This window comes from Homo sapiens, chromosome 6, assembly GCF_000001405.40.
Source record: "Homo sapiens chromosome 6, GRCh38.p14 Primary Assembly".
NCBI classification, from domain to species: Eukaryota; Metazoa; Chordata; class Mammalia; order Primates; family Hominidae; genus Homo; species Homo sapiens.
The window spans coordinates 89,402,142-89,414,298 of record NC_000006.12 but is presented as its reverse complement, the minus strand read 5'-3'; the positions used below and the strand labels follow the sequence as shown (position 1 = coordinate 89,414,298).

The 12,157-nt window shown below is 48.5% G+C and overlaps 1 protein-coding gene across 1 annotated transcript in view, besides 3 other annotated features; it reads left to right on the top strand.

Annotated features, from left to right (window-relative positions):
- Window positions 1,610-2,799: a silencer, noted in NCBI's record as "silent region_17394". NCBI's record gives its function as "represses an Ori minimal core promoter by ATAC-STARR-seq in GM12878 lymphoblastoid cells {active_cell/tissue: GM12878}" and the evidence as "EXISTENCE:reporter gene assay evidence [ECO:0000049][PMID:35858748]".
- The window catches only part of RRAGD (Ras related GTP binding D), a 47,658-nt gene continuing 37,526 nt past the window's right edge, over window positions 2,026-12,157 (top strand). The window contains exon 1 of the mRNA NM_021244.5: window positions 2,026-2,453. Within this exon, the coding sequence (NP_067067.1) occupies window positions 2,306-2,453 (148 nt within the window). The 5' untranslated portion in view covers window positions 2,026-2,305. The remainder of the gene's footprint in view (window positions 2,454-12,157) is intronic.
- Window positions 2,830-2,939: a silencer, noted in NCBI's record as "silent region_17393". NCBI's record gives its function as "represses an Ori minimal core promoter by ATAC-STARR-seq in GM12878 lymphoblastoid cells {active_cell/tissue: GM12878}" and the evidence as "EXISTENCE:reporter gene assay evidence [ECO:0000049][PMID:35858748]".
- Window positions 2,970-3,069: a silencer, noted in NCBI's record as "silent region_17392". NCBI's record gives its function as "represses an Ori minimal core promoter by ATAC-STARR-seq in GM12878 lymphoblastoid cells {active_cell/tissue: GM12878}" and the evidence as "EXISTENCE:reporter gene assay evidence [ECO:0000049][PMID:35858748]".

Sequence of the window (12,157 nt, the reverse complement as noted above, 5' to 3'; positions counted from 1 at the left end):
TCCTCCCTGGGGTTTCCTTTGACGGAAGGGATGAAAATAGGCTAGGAAAATTACTCCTAGGAAATGAGCTTTGTAAGTACCTGAGATTTTTTTTCCGCCTCATTTAATCTTCCTAATAATCCTTAGAAGGAGTGATGTTCTATTGATAAGCAATCGGGTTTAGAAGGGCATAAGTAACTTGCCTCTGATGGGAGTATGTAGTGCCTGCTTGTGTTGGTGATGCTCCTTGCACCTCACCCCACCCAGGGACCCACTCCCTGCCCTCCCTATCCAATCTCTGTCCTGGACTAGGTTCCAGGCTCCCTTGCCTTCTGGCTACCAGATGGGTTTGGCCAATGGGAGACACAGGAGAGTGGAGGGAGGATGGATGGAGAGAAAGAGAGGTCTTTGCTCTCTCCTTGATGTGAGGCCGTTCTGGCAGCAGCAGCTTCCTCATCAGTTACAGCTCCTGTTTTGTGGCCCCTCTCCAGGACTCTAGCTCCCTTCCTCACTCCTGTAAATTTAGGGGTGGTGTTATCTTCCCACTATCGCTAATACCTGCATTGATTCCCTAAACTCTGTCCACACCCCTGTAAATTGTTCCTTCACTTGAAGGCTTCAGTTAAAGTCTTTGCACATACCGTCTGTTTCATCCTGGGAAGAACCTTAACTGATACAGTCATACCAAATTATACTGCCTGCCTCCCTTGGAAAATCTCAGGACCTTTCCCATTAGAAGCAGCCACCTTCTGGAAAGTGTCTGCATCCACCTTCTGCACTCAGAAATACTAAAAAAAATCCAGGACATGAGTCATGATTTGGTAGACTGTGAGCTCCTTCAGGGCAGGAACACTGCCCTGAGCATTCTTGGACCCTCTACTTAGCCCAGCCTCAGGCATATAGGAGGTGGTTAATAAATGTTTCCTATGGAGGTTAGCACCCTTGGGCCCTGAGAGTCTCCTGCCCTAGCTTCCTCCCTCCGCTTCTGCACCGCACCACCGGCTGAGCTGCTGGCACCTGTAGGAGCTGGATCATCATGCTGACCGGCCGGTTTTTTCTTATTGTGCTCCACAGAAGGAAGTTCATCCACGTAATTTTTTGCAGTACCCAGAAAGGGTGGGTACAGTGTGTTCCGTGGTGAAAAGCTTGTGAAGGAGGAATGCAGGTTTTAGAGTCTCACTCCACGTTGCTGCTATTCCTATTTGAGAATTGCCCCCCCACCACCGCCACTCCCCTACTCCCACAAAAGCCTTGAAATATTTTATTCATGTGGGATTACAGTCTATGCAACAATGAGACATGAGGAGGTGGCCATGAATAGCCCCCGAGTGTGTTATACACTGAGACCTTTTCCAAAGGGCTGCAGAGGAATTATTTAGTCTAAGCAGCCACGAGTCATGTGATTTCTTCAGAAACATTTACGTCTGGGTAGGCCTGCTTTTTAAATATTCTTGGTGGGAAGCACTTTGAACCATAAAGGCACACTAAAAGACAATTGCTATGGAGACTGCGCCTCCACTGTGCATTTATCTGAGTTCTCCGCCTGGGGCTCTTGAGCGTCCACAGGGTGTCCTGGGCACGCTGCTCTGGGGTGGGGGATCTGGGCGCCACAGTGTTGGGAGGCCACCCGCTTGGGACCCTAGCTCAGGACTGTAAGCAGGAGGCATCCGCCCACGGTAGACGCTCTGCGGGCGTGTGGGAGTGGGACGGCGGGGGGGACATTGAGGGTGTGCGGCGCCCCCTCCCCTGCCTGTGCGGGGACCACGTGAAGGAGAGGCGCGTGGGGGCCCCTGGCGCGCAGCCGCGGTGGGTGACGGCCGGCGTCCCGGGGGCCCCGTGTACGGGGCGTGTGTCGGTGTGAGTCTGGGAGGGTGCAGGGGCCCCGCGCCTCCCCGGTCTCCTCGTGCGTGTGCGTGTGCGTGTGCATGTGTGTCCTCGGCCCAGCGCCCCGCCGAGTGGTGCCCGCGGCCGGGCGAGCGCGCGCGCGCCCGTGCGGGGTGTGTATGTGAGTATGTGACAGTGTGTGTCAGGTGACTCGGGTCACGCAGTCTCTCTCTCTCTCCCTCCTCCGGGAGGAACTGCCGCGCTCCGGCTGACTCCTCCGCCGGCGGGCGGGGCGGGGGAGGGGGCTTCGGGCGCGCTGGGAACCGCGGGACCCGGACCTGGGCGCCGCCCGCCGGGGGACGCGCGGCCCCCGCTTCCGCCGGGCCCCGCTGAGCTCTAGACAAACCTCCGCTTCAGAAATAGGCTGCGGGCGGCCGGCTAGGAGGCTTGGCCCCCACCCCGGGACCCCCGCCGTCCCCGGGCCGGCCGGCCGGTGGGCACGATGAGCCAGGTGCTGGGGAAGCCGCAGCCGCAGGACGAGGACGACGCGGAGGAGGAGGAGGAGGAGGATGAGCTGGTGGGGCTAGCGGACTACGGAGACGGGCCCGACTCCTCCGACGCCGATCCGGACAGCGGCACAGAGGAGGGAGGTGAGCGCCCGGCCCCCGCGTCCTCGGCTCGCGCCCCTTTCCTCCCCTTGGCGCCTTCCCGCCCCCAGCCCGGCCGTGCGCGAGCCACCGACTTGGAGGGGGTCCAGGGGAGCGGGTCCAGTTGAGGGTTTGGGGTGGGGAGGGACGCCAAAAGCCCGACCTCGAGCTGCCAAATGAGGGAGCGCGGTGCTGGTGGCGGAGGGGCAACCAGGATCGGTGGAAAAGGGGAAGGAGGGAGTAAGCGTCTGGGCTGGAGGAGCGCGCGCTTCTGCCCCTTTCAGAGCCGGTGCCTCCCGCGCCCCTCACCCCAAGCTCTCCGCAGCGTCTGGCGGTTGGGGAGGGGAGGGGACCGCGGGCGCGCCCTGGGACCTCTCTCCCAGAACGGTGCTGTTGAAGCCAGGGTCAGATGTCGTGGCTAAAAAAAGGCAGCCGGCGGCGGCGTGACTGGCAGGGTCGTCGGCAGCTGCGGGTGTCAGTCTCGCCCCGCGTCGCCGCGGGAGGGGCCCACCCAGGTAGTGGCTGGGGAGACCCGCGGGGCGGCGGGGGGATGCTCGCCAAGCTGTTGTGGGAGTCTCCGAGAGGCCGCAGATTTCCCGGGATCCACGCAAACACCGTTGTCAGGACACCTTATCTGCTCTCGGTATCACCACCTGGACATGGCAGTGCCTGCCCGGGAGTGAGCGCGCGGCGGGGAATTCTTTGCTTCAATAGTGAAGCAAACTCTTTTTCCTGTTCTAGAAGCGGGTTTTAGCAATCGTTCAGCTTGTGGGGGCTTCCTGCATTTTCTTAAGGTGTAAGGAAGTTGAGAGCCTTTTAGTATTCCAGAGAGGTTAAACTTTTTTTAGTTTCCCTCAGAAGCGAGCAAAAGTTCCTTTACTGTAAGGTCACTTGGAAAGGTCAATAGAAAGCGGCTGTTAAACATGATGTTATTCTCAGTGAAACTGTATGCATCCAAGAGAAGGAACTAACTTTAATGTTTCACACTGAAGAAATTGTGTGAGAGATACAAGTACCTTTGTGACTATTGATTTTTAAAGAACTTTTATTGAGAATTCACTGAACTTATTTTAAATTCTCTATGCAAAGCTTTTCTCACTAGGGTAGTTTCATTATTCTACATCTGGCAGGCACGACTTTCAATGAATCAGAAAGGAAATAAAGTTAACTATGCCTTGCGCCTGGTAGATGAGAAAGCAGCCTCTCAAGTCACCCTTTTTCATAGCGTTTTCTCTCTTGGGATGATTTGTGCTAATTCCTCATTTGCTTAAACTGATGTGTGCACCTTTGTGCTTTCTGTCTTCTGCACTCCCGGTAATTGGTCTTACCGTTGAGCACCAGGCCACATTTTTGTAGATAAAGGCTTTCAGCCGTTTTATTGGAGTCTCTAGAGCTACCTTCCGTAATTAAATTGTTCAGTCGCCTCATTATTATTCAAATTCCATTTGTTAGCTCCTCCCAGATTCTTAGAAGACTCCGGAGAGATGCAGAATAGGGATGTATTTGCAAGGTATTTGAAATGGTGGACACAGTAGGGTGTGTGTGGGATTCTCTTTTTTAAAAAAGAAAAAAAGTGGGGGGGCGGAGGGGCCATATCCAGGAGGGAAAGCCCTGTAATTTGATACTGTCCTGAGGCCTGGAGGGTCCAGAAAAAGTACTGGACCCCTCGTTTATTCTGCAGTTCTTTAAGTGGGCACTTTTAAAATTTGATTTGGGGACTTGAAATTGAAGTGAAATTAAAGCCCTGCTTGAGGGATGGGATTCCCGGAACAAAGGGCTTCCCCAGAGCCCAGACTTGGAGGCTCCTTAGCTGTTAACGTAAAGGCAAACTTGCCTGTAACTGATTTTTGGTGACTCGCATAATAAAATCCTTCTGAATGGGCTTTTGGGATCAGCTTGGGATCTTGCTATAAAAGGATTAAATATATTTATATTGTGAGAAGAGCAACATGTTTGCTCGGCAAACGTTGCTTAAGCCTGGTCTCTGTCCACCTGGGCCTGCAGTGGATAGGTGGTCTGCTTCTCAGACTTCCTCCGTTATATTTTGGCCTCTGTTCTTTCCAGATTTCCCTGGCTTTGACTTTTGGGTTTAGGCCTTGATGCAGAATCCCTTGTCAGGACATTTGCTCTCTAGTGTCAGATAGGCTCCTCAGTCAGCAATTCCAGCGAGGACTGCTCCTGATGGCTGTCAGGCCAGCTGATATGGTCTGGGGAGTGGGGATTGGGAGGAGGAGGTTGGGAGTTGTGACTTCCCTTCCTGTGCCCTTCAAAAGGCTGATTCACGTGTTGCATTATAATCTTGTTTTATTTTTGGTAAAATTTACATTTACCTACTCTCAAACTTAAGAAATAGAATGTAGGGAAAAAAAGGAGTTATTCTGAGAAAAGATGTACTTTGAACCACTAGCAAAGCATTTCTCTAATGAACCCCCACTCCCCTTTCCCCTTCCTAATAGCTTGGTTTAGTGCCTGCACTTAGTGGAGACGTGGGACTTTTTCCACTAAGTTCAGAAATCTACCCTGGTGGGTGGGAGGCTGAGGGTGGGATGTGGGACCAACTAGTATTGCCAGTTAAGTTGCAAAGCAATTTATCAGGAGCTGTGCAAGAGAAGTGGACTAAAGGTGGATATGTAATGCAATTTTCATTTCCCTCAGTCTGTAGGACTTATAAAGGAACCTCTGGTCTTATTTTTAAACCGAGTATGCCTTGTAAATTTTACCACATTGTACTGAGTTTGAAAACATAGGGCAACTAAGGTGAGACTTAAATTGCACTTCTCTGGCTTCCACTCCATATTTTATTCATGAATAGCAAAAGTGTTCTCAGGCACATTAGTTCTGTTAGGGCAGATTTGGGCACCTCTCAACCTTCCTTTCATGGTAGTTAATTGCAGGTAAGGTGAGTCTCACCTTCAATCCCCACACTCCAGATAAAACTACCAGAGAGGAGGGAATGGTTAGGCCGTTAAAAACAATTGCACCAAAAATAATGATTATTTTTAGATTCATGGACTTTAAATCTTTTGATAAATTACTGTGCTTTAAAAACTGTAATAACAGGGAAAGCAATTACAAGATCATATTTAATCAGAAAGTAAAATTGTTTTCCCCCCAAAACCCCTCCCATTTTTTAGGAGAAACTTGGCTAACGTAAGCTGCTCACCCACAGTCCAGTGAAGTTCGGTCTTTGCCTTCATAGCAGCCTGTGCGCACCCTTAGGGTCTGAGGAAGTGACTGTGTAGGTGGTTTCTGGAGGCATGAAAGATCCAGGGTCTTCCTTCCTGAAGGATGTAGATGGGGTGAATCCAGCAATTCATATGTATTAATCATTAGTTCATTAATGTTAGCCTTTTGTGGGGAAGGGACTGGGTCTCTCTATATTGCCTAGGCTGGTCTCGGACTTGTGGGCTCAAGCAATCTTCCTGCTTCAGCCTCCCAAGTAGCTAGGATTATAGGCATGCATGACTGTGCATGGCTTTTTCCTAAAATAATTTTAAAAATATTAGGGAATTCACCTTTTCATTGTTCCTTGGAAGTAAGTAGAGATAACAGTTATACTGATACTGAAATCATGGCTCAGAGATACCAGGGGGCTTTTCTACTGCCCTATCATGAGCTAGAAATGAGCGAAGTATTTAGAAGAGGATCAAGTATATGGAAATGTAAGCCCCTTTTCTTGTAATTCTGCCTTATCCAAAAAGAGCTGGCTTGACTACAGCCCTGGACACAGCTTATCTCTTAGATTTCCTTCTGGCCCTGGAAATACAGAAGAGTTGGAACAGATGAAACTACATAATAGGTTAAAATGATGTGCCCAAAGTTAAACTTTAGGTAAATACTTGTTCGAATGCCTGTATTTAGAGAGTATCTTTCTATATCAGATGTTTTATAAACCTGTGTCAGTGATTCAGGGCATCAGAGAGTACTGACTCTCTACTTTTATTAGCGATCTCTTCCATTTTAATACTAGATAGAGGGTAGTCTAATGGAAACGGGAGGCACAAACAGCAAGTTCTGGATAAGAGCCGATGACTTTGGGTTTGAGAGATCATCTTTTGTCTTTCAAAGATAACTGAGTCTGCCCCAAGTTCACCCCCTGTGTTATTCAATCCTCCCCCAGCCCATAGTAAATGCTGGTGACAATCAATTTCACTTTTAGCACAGACACTTCGTTCCTGCTCATTTTTCTTCTTTCTTTCCTTCTTTTGAGATGGAGCCTCACTCTGTTGCCCAGGCTGGAGTGCAGTGGCATGATCTCGGCTCACTGCAACCTCCACCTTCTGGGTTCAGGTGATTCTCCTGCCTCAGCCTCCCCAATAGGTGGGATTGATTACAGGTGCCCACCACAATGCCCAGCTAATTTTTGTATTTTTAGTAGAGATGAGGTTTCACCATGTTGACCAGGCTGGTCTTAAACTCCTGACCTCAAGTGATCCACCTGCCTTGGCCTCCCAAAGTACTGGGATTACAGGCATGAGCCACCGCGCCCGGCCTCTTCCTTCTTTCTTCTCTACCTCCTTTATTCTTTTGGTATCCTTTTATTTTTTAAAAAAATATTTTTTGTTCTCCCTCCTGTGCCAGAGCCTTAGAGTTCTCTTGTGATGGCCTTTCCTGGTTCTGCTGTGACACTGCAGACAAAAAGTTTCTTCACTCCTGGGCTACAGGGTCCAGGGTGCTTGCTGGTCGACCTTCTCCTCTTGTGGTCCTCTGAGAAAGACTTCGGCTCCATTTCTCAGTGTATAAAATAGAGGACTGCGTAAAGCCAACCTTAGTGCACTCTCAAAGTGATTGTTAAAAAGTTTGTAAGAATACCTTTCCCTTTTTGCAGGCACATTGGTAAATCAGAACATTTTTACCAATGTAAAACGGGAAAAGTTCGCTTGTCCCCCTTGCAGGGTGTGTGATGGGGGTTTGGCTAGATTCTTAAGTGCTCTGCTGCTCAAACCTCTAGGGGAGCACACAGACAGGCAAGCTGTGGGGCTCTGATCCCACGACAGTGTCTAGGGGTGGATGTTTACAGCTCCTGAAGCCCCAGTGGGCATGTGTTACAGGGTGCTCTTTTAGTTTTGCCATCTATGGGCTTGTGTTAACCAGCTCAGTTAGACCCTCTACCTTGTTGCAAGGACCGAGTGCTTTCTGTATCCTGGGTTCTTGCCTTGGTGTACCGGAAGAATCGGATCACACCTGGGCTTGGAGAATGAGTGCAAGATTTTATTGAATAGAAGTAGCTCTCAGCAGATAGGGGAGCCAGAAGGGAGACGGTTTTTCCCTGGAGTCAGGCAGCTGTTTTCTGACCACTCCGGCCAAACTGGTGTGCTCCCAACGTCCTCTCGACGTCTAACTGCTTGAATCTTCTTCCACCAATCCACTCCTCTCGATGTCCAGCCGCTTGTGTGTTCCTCCACTGATGTGCTCCTCTCGACGTCCAGCTGCTTCTGTGTCTGCCTTGCTTGGGTCTTGGGTTTCTGTAGGCACAGGATGGGGATGTGGCAGGCCACGGTGGTCTTGCAACATTTGGGCCGGAAATGCCTGACCTCACCTAGGCCTGTGGGGGTGCAGCCCTAGCCAGGGACCATGCCCTTCTCTCTGCCTGGCACTTCCCTTCTCCCTTCCATACCGTTTAAAGGGACCACACCCTTCCCTTCCCAGCACTCCCCTTATCATTAGGACTGCTACTGAATACATATGTTAAGGAAATATTCATATGTGGTATTTATCATGTTTTTTAGTTATTTGCCAGTGTGACTTGAGAGGATTTCATAAAGATTTAGTTTTCACGCTAAATAAAAGAATCACCTTCAAAAATCTTTATGCCTTTGAAAAATATGTGTTCTGTTTGCATTTAATTTTCCTTACTAAGTAGTTAATCAAATGGACAGTGAATCTTCGTGATTTTTGCATAGCTTTTGTTAGTAGTAGTATTAGTCATATGATTCATTCCCACTTGGGTTGGAATTTCTTATTGAACTCCTGGGTCTTGAATGTATAAGTAGTTCCATTGATCAACGTAAGCTTCAGAAATTTAAAGGAGCCACAGAGAAAGCTGCAAATAGAAACACACCAGGGGCCTCTTCCTAAAACCATAAGCACATAGACGCTTAAGCGTTTGTTGATTCCACAGAATACTAATAGCGAAGAAATTCTAATTTTCCCTTAAGGTTGAGTGAGCCTCTTACTATAGTCACATTCCACTGAAGACCCTCTCGTTGCCTAGGCTTGGGGTGGGAAAAAAGAAGGGGAGTGTGTTTGTGTGCCTGCGTGTGTCCTGTGCGTGTGTCCTTGTGTGCCTGTGTGTGTGTCCGTGTGTATGCGTGTATGCTGATAGAGGAGGAAATGAAGGCTCATGGGCAAGGGGACATGTATGGGGTCACATAGCTAGTAAATGGAGAGTTGGGACTTGAATCCTAGTCTGACACTAACCTAGTACTTTTTCAACCATTCCATTTGCCATCACTTCGCCACTATGTTATCTCTTTTTTTTTTTTTTTTTTTTTTGAGACGGAGTCTTGCTCTGTCACCCAGGCTGGAGTGCAGTGGTGCGATCTCGGCTCACTGCAAGCTCCGCCTCCCAGGTTCACGCCATTCTCCTGCCTCAGCCTCCCCAGCAGCTGGGACTACAGGCGCACGCTGCCACACCTGGCTGATTTTTTTGTATTTTTTTTAGTAGAGACGGGTTTTCACCGTGTTAGCCAGGATGATCTCGATCTCCTGACCTCGTGATCCGCCCACCTTGGCCTCCCAAAGTGCTGGGATTACAGGTGTGAGCCACCGTGCCTGGCCACTATGTTATCTTAATTCTTGCATTAAATAGTTTATTTTCCTGTTTTGAGCCTATTCAAAGATGCTACCTCTCAGAGAACTCTCCTTAATTATAATACTTCTCAATAGAATTTCTGAAGTGCATTTCATATGATATCTCATTCTTCCTGTAGAGATCCTTGAGCTTAGGATGGCAGGGCCAACCTTAAGAGCTGTGTAAGGAGGTGAACATTGGCTTTCAATTCCCATTTTCCTGATTTCTGGTTTCTTCTTTGTTGTAAGCATTCCTAACCCTCAGATCAGTCAGGCAGGGTCCCCAGGCAGCCCTGTTGTACTCGAGGCACTAATCCATCTTTTTCTCCCTTCTTTTTTTACTAAGGCCTGTTGGTTTTTGACAGGGCTCTGCTGGTTACTGGATAATTCCGGATTAAGTGATTAGCCTTCAGGTGTTAAAGACTGATAATGGCTCAATTTGATGACCCCTCCCCATAGTGCTGTTCCTTGGGTGATTGAATTTCCTGGGGTCTACAGCAGTCCAGTTCGAAGGCTGAGATCTCTGGAAAATCTGGGTATTGATAGCACCAAGTGGAGGAGAGGTGAGGTCTATTTGGTGTCCCTGACCACAGTAAATAAACTTCACCTAGGCATAAAGCTGATCCTCTTGATACCCAGTTCCAAGTGCTGATCTGGGCCAAAGTCAGACATGAATTTTCTTTTTAAAGCTTCAGTTAATTTAGCCTCAAATTCTGCTCAGTCACTTTCATGTAATCATCCCAACAAACATCTATTGAGTGTTTGTTGTGGGTAAGCACTGAGGCCTCAGTTTGTTTTAACAACAATTTTAATTTTGTTAAGCTACAAACTGCAAAATCGTGTGTTTGTATTTTTCTATACTTTGTGTTACACAGGCCATTGGGCCCAAATTTTAGACTAATAGGAAAAAGCCCCCTTTGGAATATAATATTAAAATTTTACAGAAAGGCAGAAGTTGCTTACCAATACCTAATATCCCTTCAAATGACAACCGTTTTTTATTCTTCAAGCACGTGTGTAATAACCCATATGGGAAAAATGGCAAAAGGCCACATTGATGTCTTCTAAATATAGAGAATAAAGATTTAAATCAAGAAGTTGCCAGGCTCAGTGGCTAATGCCTGTAATCCCAACACTTTGGGATGCCAAGGTGGGAGGATTGCTTGAGCCCAGGTGTTCAAGACCAGCCTGGACAACATGGCGAGACCCTGCTTCTAACCACCATCCCCCAACAAAAAAAATGAAAAAATTAGCTAGGTGTGGTGGAGGTGGTGTGTGCCTGTAGTCCTCGCTACTTGGGAGGCTGAGGCAGAAGGATCACTTGAGCCCAGGAGTTTGAGGCTGCAGTGAGCTATGATTGAGCCACTCACTGAGCTCCAGCCTGAGAGACAGAGTGAGACCCTCTCTCTCAAAAAAAAAAAAAAAAAAAGAAAAAGAAAACCAATCAGGAAGTCTATTATCATCCATGGCCATATGTATATATATATCCCCAGATAAAGAACACTTTGTTGCCTTATAGTATTCCACAGACATAAAGGTTCTCAATGCCTAGATGTTCCCTAAGTACCTTTGAATTGGTACTTTACACCTTGACAGTTTTTTGTTTTTTTTTTTGACAGAGTCTTGCTCTGTCGCCCAGGCTGGGGTGCAGTGGCGCGATCTCTGCTCACTGCAAGCTCCGCCTCCTGGGTTCACGCCATTCTCCTGCTTCAGCCTCCTGAGTAGCTGGGACTACAGGCGCCCGCCACCATGCCCAGCTAATTTTTTGTATTTTTAGTAGACACGGGGTTTCACCGTGTTAGCCAGGATGGTCTCGATTGATCTCCTGACCTCGTGATCCACCCGCCTCAGCCTCCCAAAGTGCTGAGATTACAGGCGTGAGCCACCGCGCCCGGCCGACAGTTTTTAAAAATGTCATTGTGGTAAAAACACCTAACATGAGATCTGTCTTAATATGTTTTTAAGCATATAATATGCTATTGTAGGTACACTGTTGTATATCAGATCCCTAGAGCTTACTCAGCCTGCTTGACTGAAACATCATGGCCATTGATGAGTATCTGCATGGGAGGTGTCATTGACATTTGTAAAGGATGAGTGTTACCACCTTGAGAGATGACACTGTGTGCTATGTAGGTGGTCAGTAAATGGCAACCACAGGTTGATGAGAGGTTGGAGTGGGTTGGTTTGAGCTGTTTCGCTGTGGCCAAGGCTAAAACTCCTCAAACATGCCCTCACTTTCACCCAACGAGGTCAGGGGGAAAAGGACCATCAGGCATGGGCTAGCTCAGCAGCCTTCATTCCCTGCTTCAAGCCTGTCACATTTTTACCTCCCTTCTGAGGCCCTGAGTCCTTTCCCAATGTGAGCTGCAGACCAGCAAGCCCCTCAGACTCAACAAGTTCAAATATTTGTTCAGCTGCTTGGTGGCTAGCTGCCTAGCTAGGGTTAGGAAGCCCCTAACCTTCTTGGTGGCTGGGCTGCCAGGTCAGGAACCCAGGGCTTCTGTCTCCCTTGTCCCTCATGCCTAATGTGACACAGATTTGCACTCACAAGTCCTGTTTCCACAGCCTGTGCCTTAGTTCTTTGTCATTTGTGTTCTAGAACAACCTCCTAATTCCATACTGGGACCCGCAAGGGAGTCTGTTTCTGGAGTGAACTTAATGAAATGTAAATCATATTAATCTCCCCTTAAAATCCTTAGTGATTTCCAGGCCGGGCTCAGTGGCTCATGCCTGTAATCCCAGCACTTTGGGAGGCCGAGGCTGGCGGATCATGAGGTCAGGAGTTCAAGACCAGCCTGGCCAACATGGTGAAGCCTCGTCTCTACTAAAAATACAAAAATTAACCAGGTGTGCTGGTGCGTGCCTGTAATCCCAGCTACTCGGGAGGCTGAGGCAGGAGAACTGATTGAACC